Raw genomic sequence first — 25335 nt, forward strand, 5'->3', positions numbered from 1 at the left:
ATCGACACTTCCGGTCTCCGAGCAGGACACTGCTACTTAACAAGGTGGTTTGAGCCAAGTATGTGTCTTGCGGGTCTTTGCGAAAGTGAACCAGTTATTAGGGGCGCCTAACGACCTGGGGGGTCAACTAAGGGGGTAAGAAGCCCTGGAGAAGACCTGAGGTTTGGAGATGCGAGGGGTGGGAGGGAAGTTTCGTTGCCGTCGATGGAGCCTTCTGGCGTTGGGGGCTGTACTCAGGTCCACCGGAGGAGTCGTCGGGGGTTCGGGGGGGGCGGGGAAGAACTCTGTCTAGTCTTGTGTGCCTGTTTAGAGGGTTTTCCAGGTGTTTGACCTCGTTCAGTCCGCCTCCCTCCACTCTTAAGTGTGCGACCTCTTTCTCGCGATATAACGTGGGGTGTTACTTAATCTCCCTGTACCTCCCATTGCCGTTTTTTAAATGAGGATTTCAGGACCATCCTGATAGAATTGTTTTAGGAGTTGAAAGTTGTGGTATAAAACAAAGACTTAACAGCTCCTGTCACTTGGTGTCCTGTTAATTTCCCGCGAAGTGGTCAGGTGCCCGGGTGGGGTCAGAGCTCCAGCTGCTCCGGCCCTTCTCTTGGAGCCCGGCAGGGCTCTGGATGATCCCGGACGCCTCTGACCTCTTTTTAGGAAGGCGTGGGTTGCATCCACGTTTCACGAAGGGAGAGGAGCATTTAACTTGTATCCGGGACGGCGACGCAGAGTGTTTGACAGCTTTCTCCTTCCCCAGCCTGACTTTTCTAAAAGAGCTGCAGGGAGGGACTTGGCTACTGAGGACAAAGCTGTCTACACGAGTGGTCTTTGGCTTTTCTCTTTTTAAAAAAAAGTTATTTATTTTGTTAGTCTGTTTTTATTATTGTTATTATTTGAGAATGAGGTTTGCTCTGTCTCCCAGGCTGGAGTGCAGCAGTGGCGCGATCTTGGCTCACTGCAACCTCCGCCTCCTGGGTTCAAGCGATTCTCTGTCCTCAGCTCCGGAGTAGCTGGGATTACAGGCATGCGTCACCATGCCCGGCTAATTTTTGTATTTTTAGTAGAGACGGGGTTTCACCATGTTGGCCAGGCTGGTCTCGAACCTGTGGTCCTAAGTGATCCGCCTGCCTCGGCCTCCCAAAGTGCTGGAATTACAGGTGTGAGCCACCGCGCCGGGCCGGTTTTTTCTTTTACAGAGATGTTCACCTCAACCAAGAGTGTATAGGATGTGTCCTTGGGCATGGGTGTTGATAATAATTAAACCTTAATTGGTAACTTAATTCTAAGGGCTTTATGGAAATAAATACATTTACGCCACACCATGGCTCTGTGGAAAGGTATTGCTCTTTTTCTTTTTTTTTTTTTTTTTTTTTTCCTGAGACGGAGTCTCGCTCTGTCGCCCAGGCTAGAGTGCAGTGGCGCGATCTGGGCTCAGTGCAATAGGCCGCCTCCCAGGTTCAGGCGATTCTCCTGCTTCAGCCTCCTAAGTAGCTGGGATTACAGGTGCGCACCACCACGCCCAGCTAATTTTTGTATTTTTAGTAAAGATGGGGTTTCACCGTTTTGGTCAGGCTGGTCTGAAACTCCTGACCTCGTGATCCGACCGCCTTGGCCTCCGAAAATGCTGGGATTACAGGCGTGAGCCACCGCGCCCGGTCGCTCTTTTCCATTTTAAATATGGGAGTGAGACACCTGGTGCTTAGTTCCCAGTAGAATGAGGTACAGCTGGAGCTGGAACCTAGGCAGTTTGGGTCAGAGCCTGAGTTGATCATCCCTTGGATACATTTTCATTGAGGTAGAGGAACTAGCTGGAATCAGGTGGGGAAAGAGAGTTAGGACTTGATTGAAGGGACCTTGAGAGCAAGGCTCATAGACTTGGACTTCTGTAGGAGTCTTTTAAAAATTTGTCAACATCCTGTTTCACTTTTTATAAGGATTTTGTATTGTGGAACCATATCATTGTGGAGCATTTTAAAATTAGATTAATAGGAGGAGAAAACATGTTTTAAATTACCCATGAATCCAAGATGTGAAGGTGCTAACTGTCTGATACAAGAGATGGAACTTCCAGTTCTCCTCCGTTTCTTTTTAGTCTTTCTCTGTGTCTATTGTATATTTATTTATAAGCATTTAAAAAAATTGTTATAATATCTTAATGTGTTTTCCCATATTTCTTTAACTATGGAAATTTTTAAATACTGCTAATAGAGAATAAACTAGTAAACTGCCATATTATGTCATGCTCATCCAATATTATTCCCATTTGTGTTTTTTTTTTTTTTTTTTTAGACGGAGTCTCGCTCTGTCACCTAGGCTGGAGTGCAGTGGTGCGATCTCGGCTCACTGTGAGCTCCGCCTCCCGGGTTCACACCATTCTCCTGCCCCAGCCTCCTGAGTAGCTGGGACTACAGGTGCCGGCCACCATGCCCGGCTATTTTTTTGTATATTTAGTAGAGACGAGGTTTCACTGTGTTAGCCAGGATGGTCTCGATCTCCTGACCTTGTGATCCGCCCACCTCGGCCTCCCAAAGTGCTGAGATTACAGGTGTGAGCCACGGCGCCCAGCCCCCATTGTTATCATCCTTATGACTATTTCCTGATAGTTGAAAACCTTTCATTTTTATATCATTTCAAAGCTGTAGAAGAGTTGCAAAAATAGTATAAGGAATTCTCATATACTCTTTACCCAAATTTGCCGATTGTTTACATTTTTCCTGTTTGCTTTGTTGGTGGCCATCAGCCAAATACTACCAGGAACATATCTGTAACCAGAGACGATTGTAGATTTCTGCAGCAAGGAAGCCCACATTCCATGGTGATCATGGGGTGACTTGGTAAGAGGTGTTTAGAAAGGGCAGGTTATAGGGTCTCACGTAACATGCTAGACAATATTAAGATATCATATTAAATGATATTTATTAAATATTAGATATCTGTTTAAAAAACTACTAATTGTGCTTATAGTGTTATAATTAGATAGTGCTAGATAGCATATTCCATAACATCATGTTATCTCATATGTGGTTCCATAATTAAATTTGTTCAATTTTTTCATTTATAGTCCTCACAACTATCTTCTACCCTACCCTTTACCCTGACCCCAGTTTAAAGTCTAATTATATGCATTGTGTTTACTCGTCACATTTCTGTCTTCTTTAATCTGGAAGGATTTCACAGCCTTTTTCTTTAATATATGTGGTATTTTTAAAGAGTGTAGGCAAGTTATTTTGGAGAAAGACGTTCATTGGGATTTATCTGATATATCTCATGTTTAGGTTCAGATCATGCATTGTTATTGCTTCTGGGCCTTATGCATTGTTGGTGCGGATACTGCCAAAGTGATAAGGTTTCCTTCCTATTGTAACATAACAGGGCCAAACGATGTTGGTTTGGCCCTTCATTGGTGATCTCAACTTCATTCATTTGGCCAAGATGATGTCTTTCAGATTTGTCCACTATCAAATTACCTTTTTAAAAGAAATAGTCAAGTTTCTTCTGGGGAGATACATTATTAATGGGCATTCACTCTAAAAATGAACTGCCAGTTCTCCCCCATTTATTTATTAGTTTCTTCAACTATAAATATTCTATCAGTATGGACTCAGTCTTGTTAAGTTAAATGACATGTAAACTAACAATTATTTTTCCCAATTCTATTGAGGTATTTTTTACGTATCATAGCATTCACCAATTTCAGGTGTACAATTCAGTGATCTTCAGGAATTTCACATAGTGGTTTTGCCATCATCATGATTCAGTTTAGACCATTTTCATCCCCTAACTGGACTTCTTGTGCCCACTTACAGTTAAAACTCATTTTCAGGCCGGGCACAGTGGCTCATGCCTGTAATCTCAGCACTTTGGGAGGCCAAGGTGGGAGGTATAGCTTGAGCTCAGGAGTTTGAGACCAGCTTGGACAACATAGCAAGACCCCATCTCTTAAAAAATAAAAACTCATTCTCACCTCAAATCTGGAGCAACCACTAACTTATATTCTCTCTATATACCATTATCTATTCTGGATGGTTCATATAAATGGGATCGTATAATCCATGGGTTTTGTGATTGGCTTCTTTCATTTAGCATGATGTTTCCAAGCTTTGGAAACATCCTTTAAATTTCCAAATAAGATTCCATGGTATGGATACACCACCATTTGCCTATCCATTTACCCAGAGGAAGGCATCTTGGTTGTGTGCAGTTTGGGTTTATTATGAATAATGCTGCTGTGATCATTCATGGGCTAATTCACAACACACATCTCTCTTTTTCTGCAGACTGTGGCACGTTTCAGGCAGGATTCCTCCTTCATTCAAACTGCATCACCCAGGAGTCTGCAAATTCCCCAAAGTAGGAGGAAAAATGACCACATTCAAGGTGAGGGGGGCGTGCCTCTCTCGCTGTTAAAATTCCATGTCACTACTCATATTTTCATGTGTTTTTCTCTGTCATGAGAAGACTCAAGGGGAAAACAGGCATTTGGGGACCTGTTTGTGCCAGGTGCTTCCTTTATCTCTTTTGTGTTGACTGCATTTGGTTTTTGGTTTTGCTTTGTTTTGTTTTGTTACCATTATTTATTTTATGGAGTATGAAAATTAGTAGAAATGAACAGTGCTCCCACTTCCTTACCTCCCCTCTCTCAAATTATCTGTTTTTATCTTCTCTGCTGTTCGTCATGTACATTTGTAACTGTATTTGTATTGATGATATACATCTAATTGTAAACTGTGCTCTTTTTATATGTTATATAATCTTCCATTTTTATGGTTACATCATATTCCTATTACATTGATGTATCTTTTTATTTATAACTACCTCACGCTCATAGACATATTTTAAGCAACACTGCAGTGACAGCTTTCCTATACATAACCTTTTCCCACAAAATTAATTTTGAAAACCATATGCCATTTTAGCTCAATTTTGAAAGGGTACTTTTGATATGTACCACATTGGCTGTTTTGCAGATAGAATATTTTAACTAGGCACAGAACAAAAGGATGTAACTGCTGCACCACACAAATATTGTTGGAGTTTTCACACTGGAAGAGCTAGATTCTGTGTTCTCCTTGTCTCAGTCATACTTTGCATGTGCTTTATTTACTGGTCTCTTCTTATTCATTTATGTAGTAAGCAGTTTAACCAAAGCAGTAGAAAGCCTTCATTTAAAATGTCCAGTGATACTAAGTTTTGCCAATCACTTGTGTTCTGTTACTACATTTACTCCTCAGCGCAGCGGAATGAGGTTCCTGGTCTCTTCTTCTTCTTGAACAGGTGAAATATGAGAAACCTTCTCAGGTGTACACAGGCAACCAAAGGTCAGGAGTGTTAGCCATTCGGCTCAGGTGAAAAAGAGAAACAAGGAGAGAGACAGAATTCTCCATTGAGCAACCTGTGCCCTGTGATGTGGATGTCTGGAGTGCCCTGTGGAGTGATGGTGTCCCTAGTGGTGCTGCTCCTCCCTGTCCCTACTTGGTGTGACTTCTTGTCACATGTCACTATGACATGGCATCTACTCCAGGCACTGAAGTATACTGATTACCATAGTTGTTATAGAAAATCTTTAAATCCCTTTTGGCAAAAGATGCCTCACACAATGTTACCAGAAGAAATAATGACCTGGGGCAGAAATGTTAGCCACGTGGATACCTAAAGAAAATAAAATTCAAAATCAAAACCTTGAGCACAGAATAAAGGAAAAACTCCAAACAGATAGGAACAAAGGACACTAAAAGGCCAATGTAAAAGGAGAAGTAGAGATGGCCAATAACCTTGAAAAGTGATGGTTTTCATTTGTAATCAAATAAGTGAGAATAATAGAATGATTTGTTCCCCAAATCAGATTACCAAGACTGTGGGAATACTTATAACCTGCTCTTGGTCATGATAAAGAGAAGCAAAGTACTTGTATTCTGTTCAAAGATTATGGAGGTAGGTAAAAAACTGGGAAGAAAGCATGCAGTTATATGATCACAGTTCTAAATGTGCTTATTTTTTGATGTTTTAATTTTCATTTGAAATTATTATTTTAAACAATGAGAGAGTAAGATGTTCTTACATCTTGCTACATCATTACTTAATGATGCTCTTTACAGGATTGATAATGGAAAATATGTAAAATTAAATATTCTTTACTGTAGCTAAAAGTAGGTCATCAGATCTCTGGAATACTATGCAGCCATGAAATAGATAATGCTAGTAACAACAGTAAAAAAGATTCCAGCTAATGTTCATTAAACAGTGGCACAGATGTTTCCAAATGCTATGTATTTCCTTGTTTAATCCTTTAAAATACTGTGCCAAATAAGGACTATTATTTAGAGAGGAAAGTAAATCCTGTAGGCAAACATGTCTAAGGCCACACAGTTAGGAAGGGGCAGACCCTTAGGATGTACAGTGATGCATTCTGGCTTCTGATCAGGACACTGAAGGCTGCAATTAACATTTGTGGTTTGTACCTTGAGAGTAGAGGACACACTACATAACTGTCCCACTCAGCTGTCCACACTGGTACTGTGGAGTAGGTTCACTGTGCACTGATTACCAACTTGTGTGAGTCCTGTGAGACAGAACACGATCTCACTCAACAGATTACGTGAAGCAGATTTGTTATCTACAAATTGGCAGCAAGGGAGCACAGGAGTGTAGGATACACTGTGAGGTGGCCATCCAAGGCTGAAGAAAACGTCCTGGGGTGGGTAGAATCTTGACCCCATTTCCACCAGAGCAGAGGTACCCCAGAAGGCAGCCCACCCGAGGTTATATACCTCCGGGGCAATACGACTTACTGGGCACTTTCTCCCTAACTCAAGACATTATCTTCCCTAGGAAGGACAGGAACATTGCATTGCTAGCATGTTCTATGTTTATTCTTCAAAACTATACACAAGAAAGAATGATTCAAGGCCACCCTGAAAATTACCCACAGTTACCTAAAACTTGTTAGTTTAGCAAATACTAAAGAAAAGCAATAGCATCCAGGGTTTGAGTACGAGAGAGGAGGACCCAACAAAGTTGGGACTGAATTGTTTAATGTTGCTGGGGCAGTTGGCAAGATGTGTCGAACCTATATATGGGTAGCTCAGGATGCAGCATGTAGAGTCCTAGAGGGTTACATACAAGTAGACTCAATGAGTGCACAGAATAAATGTATGAGACTTCATCATTGCACTTCTGGTGGAGTTCAGGAAAATCAGTATGTGTCATTGTCAGGATATAGACAGAATGAGTGGGAAATCTCTAAGTTGACCTACATCCCTCAATACTGAGAACAACTTTCCACTCATCCCCTTCCCCTGCTCAATGCCGCTTCTCCCCCAGTAGTCCTTGGTCATAAGATTGAAGTTATGTCTTCTTGATGTTGTAGGAGGCAGTGACCTTCAAGGATGTGGCTGTGGTCTTCACTGAGGAGGAGCTGGGGCTGCTGGACCCTGCCCAGAGGAAGCTGTACCGAGATGTGATGCTGGAGAACTTCAGGAACCTGCTCTCAGTGGGTGAGCACGGGCATCTTTTGTGTCTGAACATCAGGCCTCAGGAGTGGTTTTGTACCTTAGAGTGTTCAAGTTTGAGTGTGCATTGGGAACCTAAATAGCCAGTAAATTTTGCCTAAATATTACCCAGAATGTGTTGGGATTCAGCACGTGACCTTACCTATTCACAGGGCATCAACCGTTCCACCAAGATACTTGCCACTTCCTAAGGGAAGAAAAGTTTTGGATGATGGGGACAGCAACCCAAAGAGAAGGGAATTCAGGTAAGAACTAAGCATCTGTGTGTCCTTGTACCTGACTCTCCCACCTGTTGTGCTTCTGTCCATGCCCATTTGCATTGCTCTGATGTAAATGACCACATCTCCTTCCTGGATTATTACAACTGCCTTCCAGTTGGTGGCCCTGTTCCCACCCTAATATCTGTTCTCATGGCAGCCAAAGCGATCCTTAGGAAATGGAAGTCAGATTGTCATTCCTCTCCTCAAAAGCTTTTATAACTTCTTATTTTTATTGATGTTACAACCTCTTTAAGTGCATCTTAGAGACCTATGTGGTCTGCTCTTCATCCCATTCTGCCTCTCTGACTACGTGTGTCCTTTCCATCTTTCTCCATCATTTCCAGCCACATTTCTTCCCTGCTGTTTCTGTCCTGCCAAGGACACTGTATTGCCTGTTGTGGTAACCAATGACCACAAACTTAGTGGACTAAACAAAAATATTTATTATCTCTCTGTTCTTTAGGCCTGAAGTTTGATACATTTCACTGGGCAAAAATCAAAGCGTCCCTAGGGCTTTGTTTCTGCCTGAATGTTCTTGGAGGGAAAACTTCACTTTGGTTTACCAGTGTCTAGGCACTGTCCACACTCCCTGGCTCTTGTTTCACGTCTCCATCTTCGAAGGCAGCTACTTTGCATCTCTGACCATTCTTCCATAATCCCATTCCCTCTGCCACTCTTCCTAAGCCTCTGCCTTCTACCTTTCAGGTCCCTTGTGATTGCATTGGTCACTCCTGCATAAACCAGGATGATCTTCCTACCTTCTGCTTAGGTGACTAGTGACCGTTATGGCGTCTGCCGTTTTAATCCCCCTTGCTGTGTAACATAATAGGAAGGCTGACTGTATATTGCAGAACAGTTTTTTTGGCCTGCTGATGGCTGCTTATCCAATTCTGACTTTCTTAGGTTCCTTGACATGATTGGTTTCAGGTGTGTACAATTGACCCACGTCCCGTGGAAACTTCTAAGCATTGTTTTTATGACCACACTGAGTAAGATGCCTTCCCTGAGACTTATCCTGGAGCTTTCCATAGGGAGCATATTTATATCTGGGAAGAAATTCTTTTTGAATGAGGATTTCCAGCTACATTTCCTTTGAAAGATTTACCCATCTGCAGCCCATTTGCCTTTTCCAAAGTCTATATACACTTCACTGGCCCCAGCTTCCTCCTTCGTACTAGAAGGGGGAAGAATGAGGATGAGGGGACACAAGTCATGTAGCTGAACATTTACTCTATTTCTGGTCCTCTTTCTTCATAAATGTGTCTATTTCTGCATCTTTATGTCATACAAGTTTTGTTTTCAAAAACATTAAAGGATATAGATTTTACACAATTTTTTCTTGATTTTTATAGATTTAGTGCTGTATTTTGAACTGGTGAACTTTATGACCTGTTAGGAATTGGGAAACTGCCCTCTAAAACTAGAAACATCCTGAAGATTCTCCTTTCTCCTTAAAGATTTCTTATTAATTTAATTTATTTTTGAGATGCAGTTTCGCTCGTCACCCAGCCTGGAGTGCAATGGTGCAATCTCGGCTCACAGCGACCTCCGCCTCCCAGGTTCAAGTGATTCTCCTGCCTCACCCTCATAAGTAGCTGGAATTACAGGTGCCCACCACCACACCCAGCTAATTTTTGTATTTTTAGTAGAGATGGGGTTTCACCACATTGGCCAGGCTGGTCTCGAACTCCTGACCTCAGGTGATCCACCCGCCTCGGCCTCCCAAAGTGCTGGGATTACAAATGTGAGCCACCATGCCCAGCCAAGACCTCTTATTTATAAGTGACAGTGTATTAAATATATCTACGTACCACTGTATACCAATAGGTACACACTTACCTATAAATCCTTTCCAAGATTCAACCTCTGCAACTTAACTTTCCATTGGAAGAATTTACTTAATTCAGGACTTGGTATTATCCTGACAAAGTTTTGAATGTTTTGCAAGCATGAGCCATAGTAAGAAGCACATATTTCAATATAACCCGGACAAACATTTTTCATGCCTGTAGATGTGTATGAGTGACTCTAGGAGGCATTTCATGGAATGACCACTTTCCTGCTTGTCATGATGCTGTGATAATTTACATTCCAGTTCTTTTTTGTAAATGTTTATTGCAGAGTTTAACTGTATTTCATAGCTCACTAATGTGTAGTCTTCAATATAAAAAGTTATAAAGTCCTATTTATCTGCATCATAGGCTTTCTTTTCATTTCATGTGATTCTTCACATTTTTGATTGTCTGCTCAGGAGCATCCCCCTTTGTGGACCCCTGGAAGGACAGCCTTTCAGATTCCCCTCAAAACTGTAGTTGTGTGTCTCTGTACTCCTTCAGATAACCAAGTTACTCTCCACATCAATACAGAAAAGTAAGATGAAGTATTTTACATATGCTGTGCAAAATTCTTGTGCAGGGATACTTTGAATGTGTACATAGAAACACTATGAAGTGTTTGATGTTTAATGTTGTGCAGAGTTCAACCAACTACAAAATTTACTGAGACATTTTACAGAGAACTGCTCTCACTTCACACCAAGTGCAAATTCAGGAGGTTTTCAAAACTGCCTTTGCATTCAATAATTTTCTAAACTCTCAGAACTCACTGAATACTTTTATTCTCACTGACTGATTTTTACAGGGAAAACATGTATATTATACTTAGAGAAAAACCAAATAAAACAGGGTCCAGATGAGAATAACCAAATGCGGACCTTCTATTGTATTCTCCTGGCAGAGTAGGATGTGTTACATTCCCAGGATTAAGGTATGACTTAGACTCAAAGTACTGTCAGTCACAGAAACTCACCTAAGTGCTGGGATCCAGAGTAATTATTGGGTCTCCATTATGGAGCCAGTATTGATTGATGATTCCTAGGTGGTTAATCAGTCTCCTAGTCCACTAACTCTCTGTGACCTAAAGCTCCACCTTAAATCACATTGCTTATTTCTGACATGGAGAGGAGCATCTCCCACTCCCAATCCCCCAAAGGATTTGCCAGTTGCAACCATAAATTATATTGTTTCACTATGCAGAGTGATCCAGTGATTGCCTTCAAGCCAACCAAGACACTCTCCTGAGGTATGACACTTCAGGATCCTAGAGATTACCTCTCAGATGCTGAGGACAAAGTCCCAACCTCTTTTTGGTTAGGTTAACTTTTTTTTTTTTTTTGAGGCAGAGTCTCGCTCTATCTCCCAGGTTGGAGTGCAGTGGCACGATCTCAATCTCAGCTCACTGCAACCTCTGCCTTCCAGGTTTAAGCAATTCTCCTGCCTCAGCCTCCTGAGTAGCTGGGACTACAGGCATGTGCCACCACACGTGGCTAATTTTTGTATTTTTAGCAGAGACGGGGTTTCAAGGCCAGGCTGGTCTTGAACTCCTGACCTCAAGTGATCTGCCCACTTCAGCCTCCCAAAATGCTGGGATTACAGGTGTGAGCCACTGCATCCAGCACTTTTTTTTTTTTTTTTTTTTGAGACAGGGTCTCGCTCTGTCACCCAGGGCTCACTGCAACTTCCACCTCCCAGGCTCAAGCAATTCTTCCACCTCAGCTTCCCAAGTAGCTGGGACTACAGAGTGCACGACCACACCTGGCTAATTTATGTATTTTTAGTAGGGACAGGGTTTTGCTATATTGCCCAGGCTGGTCTCGAACTGCTGGACTCCAGTGATCAATCCCAAAGTGCTGGGATTAAAGGCTTGAGCCACCGCACCTGGCCTAGTTTAACTTCTTTATAAGGATATACAGCATAAACACAAATATACAAAGTGTTGATTAAGTTATTGCTTTTCCTTAAAGTTCCTTTTGATTCATATTTCATTATGTACATAAATTTTTATTTTCATAATTTATCATGCAAGATTTTGGACTGACTAGGAAATTCATTACAAATAGTAACAAGTTAAATGTATATCATATTTTTAAATTAAGTCTATTATTTCTATCAAGGATTTCACATGTGAGACATGATGTGGTTCTGAATTGGCCTCATGCAAACCAGAAATCAGGGTGTACTTGGAAAACAAACTGAACATTCTCTGTATTCATTAAAGTTTAATGTCATGTCCTAAGTGTGAAACCTTGAGATCACTGAATAAAGGCTTCACCTGTACACATCTCTTAAATCTGTGTCTTTATAGGAGGCAAGATCCAAACTGAGTTGGAGTCTGTTCCAGAAGCAGGAGCACATGAAGAGTGGTCCTGCCAGCAAATCTGGGAACAAATTGCAAAAGACTTAACCAGGTCTCAGGACTCTATCATAAATAACTCTCAGTTCTTTGAAAATGGTGATGTCCCCTCCCAGGTTGAAGCAGGACTACCCACAATTCATACAGGACAGAAACCTTCCCAGGGTGGGAAGTGTAAACAGTCCATCAGTGATGTTCCCATCTTTGATCTTCCTCAGCAGTTATACTCAGAAGAGAAGTCTTATACATGTGATGAGTGTGGAAAAAGCATCTGTTACATCTCAGCTCTTCATGTTCATCAGAGAGTCCACGTGGGAGAGAAACTCTTTATGTGTGATGTGTGTGGCAAGGAATTTAGTCAAAGCTCACATCTGCAAACTCATCAGAGAGTCCACACTGGAGAGAAACCATTCAAATGTGAGCAATGTGGGAAAGGTTTCAGTCGTAGATCAGCACTTAATGTTCATCGTAAATTACACACAGGAGAGAAACCTTACATTTGTGAGGCATGTGGGAAGGCCTTCATTCATGATTCCCAGCTTAAGGAACATAAGAGAATCCATACTGGGGAGAAACCATTCAAATGTGATATATGTGGTAAGACCTTCTATTTTAGGTCAAGACTTAAGAGCCATTCCATGGTTCACACAGGAGAAAAACCATTTAGGTGTGATACATGTGATAAGAGCTTTCATCAGAGATCAGCACTTAATAGGCATTGCATGGTCCACACAGGAGAGAAACCGTACAGATGTGAGCAGTGTGGAAAAGGCTTTATTGGTAGGCTAGATTTTTATAAGCATCAGGTGGTCCACACAGGAGAAAAACCATATAATTGTAAAGAATGTGGGAAGAGCTTCAGATGGTCCTCATGCCTTTTGAACCATCAGCGAGTCCACAGTGGAGAAAAAAGCTTCAAATGTGAAGAATGTGGAAAGGGATTTTATACAAATTCACAACTGTCTTCCCATCAGAGATCCCACAGTGGTGAAAAGCCATATAAATGTGAGGAGTGTGGGAAGGGCTATGTTACTAAGTTTAATCTTGACTTGCACCAGAGGGTCCACACGGGAGAGAGACCTTATAATTGTAAGGAATGTGGGAAGAACTTTAGCCGGGCCTCAAGTATTTTGAATCATAAGAGACTCCACTGCCAGAAAAAACCATTCAAATGTGAGGACTGTGGAAAGAGGCTTGTACACAGGACATACCGTAAAGACCAGCCGAGAGACTATAGTGGGGAAAACCCATCCAAATGTGAGGATTGTGGGAGACGCTACAAGAGGCGCTTGAATCTGGATATACTTTTATCATTATTTCTAAATGACACATAATTGTTCATATTTATGGGGTACAACGTGCTATTTTAATGTGTGCATACAATTTATAGTGATCCAATCAGTGTAATTGGTGTATCTGTTACCTCAAACATTTACCATTTCTTTGTGTTGGAAAATTCAAAATCCATTTGAGAGGAGTTGGTAGACAGCAAGGGAAGGGTCCCTGGAGACCCCCAGCCAAACGGGTCAGTGTCTCATCCCCACATAACACAAAAAGCAGCCTGGGGAAGACAATCAAGCTACAGGCACTGATAAGGGAACTAGCACAGGGGATTGTGCCTGGAGACATGCCCATGGCTGCACAGATAGAAGAACCTCCAGCCCATTCAGGTAAAAACTCGCACAAACCTCCGGCTCACTCAGTTAAGGGAACAAGACCAGACACAGAAATGCCTTTGTCCTTTGTATAATCAGCAGGCTCCGAGGAAAAAGTTTCTTCTTTTGTGGGCATGAACACAGTGGGCTTCAGTAGGTTCAGGTTGGCACTTTCTTTTGTGGAAAAGGAAAAGCCCAGCCTCTGTAAATCATCACTTCAGCTCCTGATTGGTCCCAGGCCAAGCTGAATAGCCCTTAGGAATAATCACTTCAACTCCTGATTGGTCCCGGGCCAAGCTGAATAGCCCTTATGAATCATCACTTCGGTTCCTGATTGGTCCCGGGCCAAGGTCCCAGACCAAGCTGAATCACGCTTTCTCCAAGACAGCCCGCAGGCTAAGTGCATTCCTTCCCCTTCCCAGTCCATAAAAACCCCGGACCCCAGCCTCATACTGGGCAACTTATTTGGATCCCCATCTCCACTGTGGAGAGCTTTTTTCTTTCACTTATTAAACTTTTACTCCAATTTCACCCTTGTGTCTGTGCTTCTTAATCATATTGGACGTGAGATTAAGAACTCCGGGGGATAAGAGAGACTGTTACAGAGAGACTGTTACAGTGTGGTGCATTTGTGAGACTACAACACATTTTTAGCAATTTGTAAATAATTGTTGATGATAGTCACCTTTAGTGCTGCAGAACAGTAGAACTTATTCTTCCCCTCTACCTCTTTTGTATCTGTTGGCCAACCTTTGGCCATCTCACCTACCTCCTACACTTCCTTGCCTGTCTACATCCACTGTTCTACTCTCTACTACAAAATCAACTTTTTTTAACTTCCATATGAGTGAGGACAGTCAGTATTTCTCTTTCTTTGCTTGGCTTATATTAACAATGTCCTTGAAAACTCATCCATGTTGCCACAAATGATAAAATTTTGTTTCCTTGTTATGTCTAAAGAGGATTCCATTGTGTATATATGCCACCTTTTCTTCATTCATGTATTGATAGACACTTAGGTGGATTCCTTATCTTGACTATTGTGAGTAGTGCTACAATGAACCTGGGAGTGCAGATATCTCCGTGACATACTAATTTCCTTTCCTTTGGATATACCCAGTAATAGAATTGCTGGATCACTTGAATTTTATTATGCTTCAGAAGCTCCACACGGGAGAGAAACTACGGAAGTATGAGGAGGGTGGTATGTGCTTCATTCAGGCCTCAAGTCTTCAACTTCAGAATGTCCACATTGGAGAGAAGCCTCAGTAATGTGTGTAATAAAGTCTTTACTCAGTTTTCATGACTACAGTCTCACCTAAGCATTCACAAAGGGGAGAAACATTAAAATATGAGGCACATAGAAAGCAGTTCCTTTTGAGTTTGTATCTTGTAATTTATCACAGAATCCATGCTGATGATACATTTCATCCAGTCCTGTAGGAGAAAAAACATTTAAGTTAAAGCCTGTTTCAGCCATAGCTCAGCATACCCCAGTGGTCCTGGGACTGTCACAGTGGAGAACCCTTGTAAGTTGTGCAGTAGGGCTTCAAACAAAAGTTTGACAGTTACAGTTATTCAGGAGACAGACCTTAAGAGTTCATTCATGCATTTACAAAACGAATCATGAACATATCAAAGTTGATTACCACTAGAATGTCAGTGACATGTGTTTTCTGCTGCATCTTCACAACTTTAACACTGATTATCACTTTGTGTTCACTATGTGTTAAATGAATTAAAAGGAGCAAACGCGATGTTTTTAAATTGTATCTAAGAGAGGAAATCTACAAATAATTCAGGGACACCTGAGTTGAAATGCAGAGTACACTAAATACTGCAGTTCACAGCATTATTTTGATAATATCTGTTCACACTTGGTTCCTGTCTTCCCCTCCTCCTCTATTCCGAAGTTGCATTCTTAGTATTTGTGGCTTTGTGTAGTGTTCCATTGGTTGAATACAATATAAATTCAACAATAATTTGTAATTTTTCTCACACTACAGGCTGAAAACGTTGTAATAAATTCAATAAAACATCTTAATAAATTCAAAAGTTTAATACCATAAAAGTCTTTTCCAATTATAATCTAGATCACAAAAGCTGAAATTCAATCACATCATGAAAAGTGGAAAATTCACAAGTATGTGGAAACTAAACACACTCTTTATATATATATGTGTATATATATGTATGTATATATATGTATATGTATGTGTATATATATGTATGTATATATATGTATATATGTATGTGTGTGTGTATATATATATATATATATATATATATATATATATATATATACCCACCCTGTGTCCAAGTGTTCTCATTGTTCAATTCCCACCTATGAGTGAGAACATGCGGTGTTTGGTTTTCTGTCCTTGTGATAGTTTGCTCAGAATGATGGTTTCCAGCTTCATCCATGTCCATACAAAGGACATGAACCCATCTTTTTTAATGGCTGCATAGTATTCCATGGTGTATATGTGCCACATTTTCTTAATCCAGTCTATCATTGGTGGACATTTGGGTTGGTTCCAAGTCTTTGCTATTGTGAATAGTGCCACAATAAACATACGTGTGCATGCAGCACACTCTTAAATAATATGTCAGAGTACATCAGGAGTGAAATTAGGAAATACCTTAGACAACTGAAAATGAAAACAATGGCCAAAACTTTTGGAATGAGGCAAAAGCAGTAGGAGGAGGGAAATTTATATCTGTAAATGCTTATATTAAAGAAGAAAGATCTGACATCCACAGCCTAATTTTATTTTCATGAACTAGAAAAGGAGAATCTTACAGAAAGTGATTAGGAGGGAAATAATAAAGATTAAAGTATTAATAAATAAAATACAGAAGAAGAATACAAAGAAAATCAACCAAACCAAGAGTTGATTATTCTGAAAGACTAACAAAATTGTGAAAACTTTAGCAGGACTGACTAAAAAAGACTCAAGTAACTAAAAGTGGGGACATTATTACCCATTTTTACAGAGGTGAGCCACAGCGCCCAGCTTCATTTTTGTATAAGGTGTAAGGAAGGGGACCAGTTTCAATCTTCTGCATATGGCTAGCCAGTTATCCCAGCAGCACTTATTGAATAGGGAGTCCTTTCCCTGTTGTTTTTGTCAGTGTCATCAATGGCATGGTTTGGATGTGTCCCCACCCAAATCTCAGCTTGAATTGTATCTCCCAGAATTCCCACATGTGGGAGGGACACCACAGAAAGTCAGAATTATTAATTAAAAGGGAAACAGAACTAAGAATTTTAAAAATTCACAGCCTATCTACTTTGGAAAAAAAAATTAGAAAACCTGTTCTGGATAAAACAACGGTAGAGATAAGCAACTGATTTAGGAGATTAGTTTGGATTGGTCATGTCAACAGAAGCCAGGACCTGCTGTCCATTAACACTGGAAGAATGACCCCAAAGGCATCTAGGAGATCATAGAGGCTGCTCCTCCCAACACAGACCCAGAGTGCACGGACCTGGGAAGCAGAAGGGACCTTTGATGCCAAGTGCCCCTAACCTTTTAGGCTCAGTTCCCTGCATGCTACGATTGAGTGTGTCAATACATCTTATCTTTCGGGAAGGCAGAGTAGATCAAGGATACAGCTATAACTGGCATATGAATAGTGATCACTCAATTTTCAGAGAGCGGATGTTTGGCATCAAAAGTTTGGCACAGTCACCTTATTTTTGTGTCTAAACAAAATTTTGAAAAGTTTTTAGTTTAGAAAAATAGGTAAACAGTAGACTCCATTTTTTTTAAAAAGAAGAATATTGGTTTATAGGCCAATGTATGTTTATAGGGAGAAAAAAAGTTACCTTCAAAAGAGCAGGTTTTTAGATGAATTGTTTCCTAATTTAGCTTTATACTGTTATTATTTTTTAACCAATGCCAGTTTTTAAATTGCTAACTATAATAAAGAAATTATGTTTCACCAAGAAATAAGAAGAAACTTAAAAAAAAAAATCTTTAATTATTGAGGTATCTGTTGCCTAGGCTGGAGGGCAGTGGTGGCATCATAGCTCACTGCAGCCTCAATCAAACTCCTGGGCTTCAGCAATCCTCCCACCTCAGCCTCCTGAGTACTTGGAACTTGTAGTCCCAAGATCAGGCCACCATGCCTGGCCAGTTAAAAAAAAATTTTTATAGAGACGAAGTCTCCCTGTATTTCCCTGTCTGGTCTCCAATTCCTGAGCTCAAGGGAACGTCCTGCCCTGGCCTCCCAAAGGGTTGGCATTACAGGTTTGAGCCACTGCGCTTGGCCAGGAAGAAAACTCTTTATAAGACATGCTCCTTCACCTATAGAATCCTCCCGTTTTACTGCATTTACAATCTCAATGTAAGATTGATACCAATGCCTAGCTCTTCATCAGTCATTATTGCTCTGAGGTACTGAGCAATTCACTACATTCGCTGAAATTTGATGTTTCTACATCTAAGGAGAAATATGAATACCATGAAAAGTTTATGGGAAGATAGCTATTCCATGACGACACCGCTTCTCCACTAGTAGCTGTGATCTTAAATGGGGGTGGCTTTTCCTGCCAAACCAGTGGTCCCACAGCTTCTGGAGTAGGGGCTGGTGTCTTCCTGCTCCTCATTGCCCCTGCCAAACCATTCCACCTGGCTCATCCTTTAAACCGTTAGTTTTAACCTCCCATCGTCAGATTATCCTAATCCTTGAAGATTTTATCTCCTCGTTTGTTCTCTTCCCAATAACACTCCTGTCATCGTGGGAGGCGTTTAGACTTCAGGAATTCCTGTCTATACACTATTTTCGCTCAAAGACTCAGGAAGAGAGACGGACGACTCACAGGGTCACAGTCCACATTCCCCACCAGGCGCTCAGAGATATGGAATACGTTCCCGGTGGGCACTGCGGTGTGTGTAGTCAAGGACCACCGCGGAGTCCAACGCTTCCCGCTGAAGAGTGAGATTATAGACATTTTCCTTTGGCATTGGAGGAAGCGGAGTCCAGACACACTCTGAGTCGCGGGCAAGTTGGCTCAGGCGGGTGGACGAGTGAATTCTGGGAACTGTAGTCCATCAACTTCATGGAATGGCGGACCCTTTGGCTCAAGCAGTTGAACCGGGGAATTCTGGGAAGTGGAGTCCAGACGCTCTGTGGAGACGCGAGCACTTCCGGTGTGTGAGCCTGCGGTTGCTACATAACCGCGTAGTTTGAGCCATTTCTGCGTCTGGCGGGTCCTTCTGAACTTGTCACCTTCGCTTGGGGTCGCAACGACCCGATGATCGATGATCCAAGCAAGGGAAAAGAAGCCTTGGCGGAGAGCGGAGGTTTGGTGGGGGCGGGGAATGGGGTTTTTTTCCCGTCCACGGAAGCTTTCTGGGATGGGGGTGCTGTGCTCGCATCCCGGGGGTTGGAATTGGCGGGGTCCTCTGTGCCCTGCTGTGAGCGTTTCCAGGACTTTGACCTCGCTCAGCCTGCCTCTCTCCACCCTACCTGTGCGACCGCTTTCTCGCAGTGTGACGTGGAGTGTTACTCAATGTCCTTATACTTTCCATTGCTGTTTTTGGTAATGGGGACATTAGAACCATCCTAGTAGAATCGTTTTTGGGAACTGAAAGAGATAACGCAAATGAGAACCTTAAAGCAGTCCCTGTCACTTGGTGACTGGTGGTCTCTTGTTAACTTCCCGAAGAGGTCAGGTCCCCGGGTGGAGTCATAGCTTCAGCTGCAGGGGCCCTGGTCCTTCTCCCTAATCCCTGCAGGACGCTGGATGATCCCGGGAGGCCTTCTGACCTCTTTTTAGGAAAGCGAGTTGCGTCCGCTTCCACGAAGGGCGGGGAGCATTTAACTTTTATGGGGGACCGCGATGCAGTCAGGGTATTTCACAACTTTCGCCTTCCCCAGCCTGACCTTTCTAAAAGAGCTGCAGGGAGGGGACTTCTTGGCTACTGAGGGCAAATCTCTATGTGATTGGTCCTTGGCTTTTTTCCTTTATAGAGATGTTCACCCAACCGAGAGTGTGTCCTCGGGAATGGGTGTTGATAATCATTAAGCCGTAATTGGTAACTTCATTCTAAGTGCTTTATACAAATAAATTTAGGCCACACTGTGGCTCTGTGAAGTATTGCTTTTCTTTGTTTTAAAAATGAGAGTGAGACACAGGGTGCATAGCAGCCAACTAGTGAGAGGTAGAGCTGGGGTTGGCACCTAGGCAGTCCAGGTCAGAGCCTGAGTTGATCACCTCTTGGATACATTCTCATTGAGGCAGAGGAACTAGCTGGACTCGTAGGGAAAGCAAGTTAGGACCTGATTGAAAGGACGTTGAGAGCAAGGCTCGTGGGCTTGGACGTCTAGGAATTTTTAAAAATTTCTCAACTATTTTGTTTCATGTTTTCCAAGTATTTCGTACTGTTGTGGAACTGTATCATTGTGGAAAAGTCTGAAATAGGAGAAATGAGAGTAGAAAAAGTTTTTTAATTACCCATGTATCCAAGATGTAAAGGTAGTAACTGTTAAGCTTCTAATTGATTTCTTTTGTCTTTCTTTGTGTCTACTTCTATATTTGTTGATAAACATTTTTTTAAAAATTGTTATATTTTAATGTGTTTTCCCATATGTCTTTTAACTATAGAAAATTTTAAATATTGCTAATAGAGACTAAACTAGTGAGGCTGGTTGTGGTGGCTCATGCCTATAATCCCAGCACTTTGGGAGGCCAAGGCAGGTGGATCACTTGAGGTCAGTAGTTTGAGACCAGCCTGGCCAACATGGTGAAACCCCATCTCTACCAAAAATACAAATATTAGCCGGGCGTGATGGCACGTGCCTGTAGTCCCAGCTACTCTAGAGGCTGAGGCAGGAGAATTGCTTAAACCCGGGAGGTGGAGGTTGCAGTGAGCCAAGATCACGCCACTGCACTCCAGCCTGGGCAACAGAGTGAGACTCAAAAAAAAAAAAAAAAAAAAGAATAAACTAGTGAACTGCCATATTATATAATGCTCAATTTTATTATTCCCATTATCCTTATGACTATTTCCTGATATCTAAAATATTTTTGCTGGGCGCGGTGGCTCACGCCTGTAATCCCAGCACTTTGGGAGGCCGAGGCGGGTGGATCACGAGGTCAGGAGATCGAGACCATCCTGGCCAACATGGTGAAACCCCATCTCTACTAAAAAAAAAAATACAAAAAATTAGCTGGGCATGGTGGCAGGCAGTTGTGGTCCCAGCTACTCCAGAGGCTGAGGCAGGAGAAAGGCGTGAGCCCGGGAGGCGGAGCTTGCAGTGAGCGAGATCGCGCCACTGCACTCCAGCCTGGGCTAGGGAGCGAGACTCTGTCTCAAAAAAAAAAAAATTAAAAACTAAAAACAAAATAAAATATTTTCATCTTTATATCATTTAAAAGCTATAGAAAAGTTGCAAAAATAGTATAAGGAGTTCTCATACTCTATCCAAATTTGCCAATTGTTTACATTTTTCCTGGTTGCTTTGTTGATGACCATCAGCCAAATACCACCAGGAACATAACTAACCAGAGACAGCTGATTATGGCTTTCTGCAGCAAGGAAGCCCACATACCATGGTAAATGTGGGGTGTGTTGGTAAGAGGTATTTAAGAAGGGATGGTATAGGGTTTCACATAACATGCTAGATAATATTAGATATTAAATAATATTGTTATCTATTACATATCAGATCTGTTAAAAGACTACTAGTAGTTGTAGTGTTACTCATTAGATAGTGTTGAATAGCATATTACCTAACATCCTGTTATCTAATCTGTAGTTACATATTTAAATTTGTTCAGTTTTTCATTTAAAGTCCTATGCCAGGCACAGTGGCTCATGCCTGTAATCCCAGCATTTTGGGAGGCAACGGCGGGTGGATCTCCTGAGGTCAGGAGTTCGAGACCAGCCTGGCCAACATGGTGACACCTTGTCTCTACTAAAAATATTTTTAAAAGCCGGGTGTGGTGGCATGCTCCTGTAATCCCTGCTACTTGGGAGGCTAAGGCAAGAGAATCACCTGAACCCAGCAGGCGGAGGTTGCAGTGAGCTGAGATCGCGCCACTGCACTCCAGCATGGGTGACAGAGCGAGACTCTGTCTCAAAAAATAAAAAAATAAAGTCCTTATGACTGTGTCCCCTACCCCACCCTTCACCTGCAATGCCATTCAAAGTCCAGTTTATGCATTGTCTTTAGTTGTCACATTCCACAGTTTCTTTAGTCTAGAAAGATTCCACAGTCTTTGTCTTTTATAAACATGGTGGTTTTTTTTTTAATAGGAAAGTTATTTTGGAGAAAGATGTTCATTTGGAGTTTGATATATTTCATGTTTAGTTTCAGATTATGTATTGTTGGTAAGGATATTGCACAAGTGATGAGGTTTCCTCTTTATTGCAACATAACAGGGTTCACATGATGTGGTTTGTCCCTTCACTGGTGATCTCAACTGTGTTCACTTGGCCAAGATGATGCCTTTCAGATTTGTCCGCTGTAAAGTTACCTTTTTTAAAAAAACTCAAGTTTCTTATTGGAAGGTACATTATTAGTGGGCATTCTACTAAAGATGAACTTCTAGTTCTCTTCATTTATTCATTTGTTTGTTCAAGTATAAATCTCCCAACAATATGGACTCAGAATTCAGTCTTATGAAGGTAAATGACATGTGGATTAGCAATTTTTTTTCAACTCTATTGAGGTATATTTTACATAAAGCATTCACTCATTTCAGGAGTACAGTGATCTTTAGGAACTTTGTAAAGTGGAGTAACCATCATCATAATTCAGTTTAGTTATTTTTCACCCTCAGTTGGACTCTGTGCCCATTTACAATTAAACCTCATTCTCACCCCAAATCTGGAGCAACCACTAACCTACTTTTCCTCTATGTATACATTTGCCTATTCGGACATTTCATATAAATGGAATCATCTAATCCATGGATTTTGGTGACTGGCTTCTTTCTCTTATGATGTTTCCAAGGTTTGTGCATGTTGTAGCATGGGTTGGTACTTCATTCCTTTTAATTTCCAAATTAGATTCCATTATATGGATATGCCATGATTTTTCTATCCATTTACCCAGAGGAAGGCATTTTGGTTGTGCACAGTTTTGGGGTTAGTATGAATAATGCTGCTGTGATCATTCATAATACATGTGCTTGTTGCTACACAGCCTCCCCAGCCACCATTTCATGTCTCTCTTTTGCTGTCTCTGGCATTTTCCAGGCACAATTCCACCTTCCTTTGTGCTCCATTACTCAAGACACTGAAGACTCCAAAAAGTAGTAGGAAAAATGACCACATTCAAGGTGAGTAGAGCTCACCTCTCTTGCTATTAAAATTCCATCTTATTGCTCATATTGTCATATATTTTTCTCTGTCTTGGGAAGACTCAAGGAGGAAATGGGCATTTGGGACCTGTTGTGTGCCAGTTGCTTCCTTTGTCTCTTTTGTGTTGACTTTGCATTTGGTTTTTGGTTTGGGTTTTGTTTTGTTTTTTACTGTTACATTATGGAGTAGAAAAATTAGTAGGAATGAACAGTGCTCCCACTTCTTCACCTCCTTGCTCTCAAATTAGCCTGATTTTTCTTCTTGTGCTGTTCCTTGTACATTCATAACTGTATTTGTATTGATGATGGAGTTCCTTATGTCAAGAGTGCTCTATACACCAAGATAACATGTCCTTCTGGTTTTCTTCATACTTGTCCATCAGATAGTTAGTCCCCCTTTCTGTGGAGGCCCACATTGCGCATGTTGGCTCCATTTCTCTTAGATGCTCCAGGGACCCTCTGACCCACTTCACCCACCTCCTGAGTCCTCTGGCCCCAGGAATGAGCTATTATTTAAGGTGTCGCAATCAGCGGATCACACACCAAGCTCCTGTGTTTCCGTATTCTGTCCTTCTGTCTCAATCCATGCAGCCAGCTCACATCTGTGGAGGGGTGGCCTGTGTCCCGCTTATCATTCTGTCTTCTTTATAAATCATCAAGCTGCTGTCCAGCCTGCGCCCCCAGGCTGCCATCACAGCACTGGGCCAATTGCCCAGGATATAAGTGCTCCCCCTTTGCCAGTCCAGAGTTCTGTCAAATTGGACCCTGCTGGCTGCACCAATTCCATGGAACAGGTTCACTAGTTACAGACTTGGCGAGTCTACCATGAGAGAGCACACTCATGTATGACAAATTACATAAAGCAGATTTATTACATGTAGGTAGCAAGGGACAACAGAAGCCTATGATCCACTGTGAGCCAGTCCTCCAAGGCTTAAGAAAGCTGCCTAGAGTGGGTGGAGTCACGACTGCACTTGCCCCATTTGCACCATAGCTGAGGCACCCCAAGAGGCAGCCTGTCCCAGGCTATATGCCTCAGGGGTAACATGACTTACTGAGCAGTTCCTCTCTAACTCAAGATATTATCTTTTATGGATTGGACTAGAACCAAAGAAGGCATAAAAAAAAATAAAAAGATGTTATCTTCCCTGGGAAGGACACTGCATAACTAGCACATTTATGGTTATTCTTGAGACCTATAAACAAGAAAGTGGGGAGAATGGATCCAAGGCTACTTTGAAAATAGTTACCTAAAACCTGTTAGTTTGGCAAATACTAAAGAAAAGTGATAGCATCCAGGGTTTGGGTCTGAGAGAGGAGGACAATAAGCCTCATCAAACAAGGTTGAGACTGAATTGCTCATTGTTGCTGGGGCAACTGGGGCAATTGGCAAAATTCATTGAAACCTATATAGGTGTAGCCCAGGATGCACCATTTGAAATCCTAAGGGGTTACTTACAAGGAGACTCAGTAAGTGCACAAAGTAAAAATACAGGAGGTCTTTTTCATGATTGCACTTCTGGTGGAGCTCAGGAAAATCACTGTCAGGATACAGACAGAATGAGTGGGAAATCTATAAGTTGACCTCCACTTCTCCTCTCCGCCTGCTCAATGCTGCTCCTCCCCCAGTAGTCCATGGTCATAGGATTGAGGTTATGTATCCTTGATGTTATAGGAGGCAGTGACCTTCAAGGATGTGGCTGTGTTCTTCACTGAGGAGGAACTGGGGCTACTGGACCCTGCCCAGAGGAAGCTGTACCAAGACGTGATGCTTGAGAACTTCACGAACCTGCTGTCAGTGGGTGAGCACAGGCACCCTCTGTAATGGTACATCAGGCCTCAGGAGTGGCTTTGTATCCTAGAGTATTCAAGTTTGTGTATGCAGTGGGAACTTAAATTTCCAGTAAATTTTACCTTGATATTACCTAGAATGAATTGGTATTAAGCACATGACTTTGCATGTTCACAGGGCATCAACCATTCCACCCTTTCCACTTCCTAAGGGAAGAAAAGTTTTGGATGATGGAGACAGCAACCCAAAGAGAAGGAAATTCAGGTAAGAAGCAAGCAACTGTGTGTCCTTGTACATGACTTTCTTTCCCATTTGTTTTACTTCTGACCATGCCCACTTATATCACCCTGATCTAAATTGCCCAATCTCTTTCCTGGTTTATTACAACCCCTTTCTGGCTGGTGGTCCTGTTCCCTCCCTTCCACCCTGACATCTATTTTCCCCCGAGCAGCCAAAATGATCCTTGGGAAATGCAAGTCAGTTTTCCACTCCTTGGTCCAAAAGCCTTTATGGTTTATTAATGTTATTAAAGTTACAACCTCTTTATTGGCTTTTAGAGACCCTGAGGTTTGTTCTTCATCCCCTGCTGCCTCTTGACTACATCTGTCCTCTCGCC

General features: G+C 41.9%; 2 protein-coding genes and 1 long non-coding RNA gene across 13 annotated transcripts in view, besides 1 other annotated feature; 2 read left to right on the plus strand and 1 right to left on the minus strand.

Annotated features, from left to right (window-relative positions):
* Positions 1 to 14139, plus strand: ZNF155 (zinc finger protein 155). Of its 11 annotated transcripts, none has more exons than XM_047439370.1 (6): positions 1 to 161; positions 4272 to 4371; positions 5837 to 5925; positions 7361 to 7487; positions 7655 to 7747; positions 11906 to 14139. In XM_047439370.1, exons 3-6 carry the CDS (start codon positions 5878 to 5880, stop codon positions 13285 to 13287), a joined length of 1650 nt encoding a protein of 549 aa, XP_047295326.1. In that variant the 5' UTR covers positions 1 to 161; positions 4272 to 4371; positions 5837 to 5877; the 3' UTR covers positions 13288 to 14139. The 11 variants fall into 11 exon arrangements, with proteins under 11 accessions (XP_047295326.1, NP_001247417.2, XP_011525580.1 ...); NM_001260488.2 differs by having other exon boundaries at positions 1 to 58; XM_011527278.4 differs by having other exon boundaries at positions 1 to 44.
* ZNF230-DT (ZNF230 divergent transcript) lies at positions 12709 to 18683 on the minus strand. The gene is made up of 3 exons (NR_110727.1): positions 18078 to 18683; positions 14336 to 15045; positions 12709 to 13608 (listed from the first exon to the last, which is right to left on the minus strand). It is a non-coding gene; the product is annotated as a ZNF230 divergent transcript (long non-coding RNA).
* Positions 18533 to 19042: an enhancer, noted in NCBI's record as "active region_14748". NCBI's record gives its function as "activates an Ori minimal core promoter by ATAC-STARR-seq in GM12878 lymphoblastoid cells {active_cell/tissue: GM12878}" and the evidence as "EXISTENCE:reporter gene assay evidence [ECO:0000049][PMID:35858748]".
* Positions 18770 to 25335, plus strand: part of ZNF230 (zinc finger protein 230) — a 10968-nt gene continuing 4402 nt past the window's right edge. The window contains exons 1-4 of the mRNA NM_006300.4: positions 18770 to 18920; positions 22824 to 22906; positions 24603 to 24729; positions 24897 to 24983. Coding sequence (NP_006291.2) covers positions 22892 to 22906; positions 24603 to 24729; positions 24897 to 24983 — 229 coding nt within the window. The 5' untranslated portion in view covers positions 18770 to 18920; positions 22824 to 22891. The remainder of the gene's footprint in view (positions 18921 to 22823; positions 22907 to 24602; positions 24730 to 24896; positions 24984 to 25335) is intronic.

The sequence above is a fragment of the Homo sapiens genome, chromosome 19 (assembly GCF_000001405.40).
Source record: "Homo sapiens chromosome 19, GRCh38.p14 Primary Assembly".
NCBI classification, from domain to species: domain Eukaryota; kingdom Metazoa; phylum Chordata; class Mammalia; order Primates; family Hominidae; genus Homo; species Homo sapiens.